Raw genomic sequence first — 818 nt, 5'->3', positions numbered from 1 at the left:
TCTTCTTTTGTCCCTCAAGCATCTCCATAGTGAGAAACCATCTCATTTCACACGGTGCAGAAACTGTTCTTCCAGGCCCTTGAAGAAGCAGACACCAGCATGTGTCTCACTGTGTGAGGAAAAGTCAGGAGAACCACGGCCAGGCTGGCCAGCATGGAACCAGGACGGAAGGGTCCTCTGAGGGGAGGAGCCAGGAGAAGCTGGGGAAAGGGACACAAGGGAGGCTTGGTTAAGCTTCAGAGAGTCTTCCAGCCAGTGTGGGCTGTCCGGGGAGGCCCAGGTCTCAAACAGAGGCAGCCCCCGGGCAGCTTGGTGTCTACACAAATATGCCATGAGTCTTTGAGAACATCAGCAACCCCAGACCTCCCACCCATGCTTCATCTGGAGTCTGCGAGGCCCATTCTCATGACGGCCCCAAAGCCAGGGGACAGGTCTCTCATGGAGGCTGACCTAACCCCAAGCCCGGGGCCCCATTGCAAGGGTTCTCTGAGCAAGCTTGGAGCTCCCTGTTCATTTCTGACATGGAAGGACTTCCTGTTTTTTTTCTAACTCAGCTATGTATTTATGCATTTACTTATTTTAATTAATATTTCTTTATGTATTATTAGGGAGACAGTTTCAGCTTTAGCGGGGGGGGCCTGCACATGAACAAAGTAATATGTTGTTTACAGTTGTAGACAAAGTGTAAGGCTTTCAATTTGAACAGTTTCTTGGAATGCATTGCCTTGTTCTCTGTGATGTGTCTCCACCCTCTCTTGACACTGAAAGCCATCCCAAGTGGATCCCGGGCCTCTCTGGAAAAGCTAATTGGTGTGTAT

General features: G+C 50.1%; 1 annotated feature.

Annotated features, from left to right (window-relative positions):
- Window positions 380-549: an enhancer, noted in NCBI's record as "experimental_84195 CRE fragment used in MPRA reporter constructs". NCBI's record gives its function as "activates a minimal promoter by MPRAs in K562 erythroleukemia cells, with activity observed for both the introgressed and non-introgressed 5:2565354 variant alleles {active_cell/tissue: K562}" and the evidence as "EXISTENCE:reporter gene assay evidence [ECO:0000049][PMID:34662402]".

This window comes from Homo sapiens, chromosome 5 (genome assembly GCF_000001405.40).
Source record: "Homo sapiens chromosome 5, GRCh38.p14 Primary Assembly".
NCBI lineage: Eukaryota > Metazoa > Chordata > Mammalia > Primates > Hominidae > Homo > Homo sapiens.
This window is presented reverse-complemented; position numbering and strand designations above follow the sequence as displayed.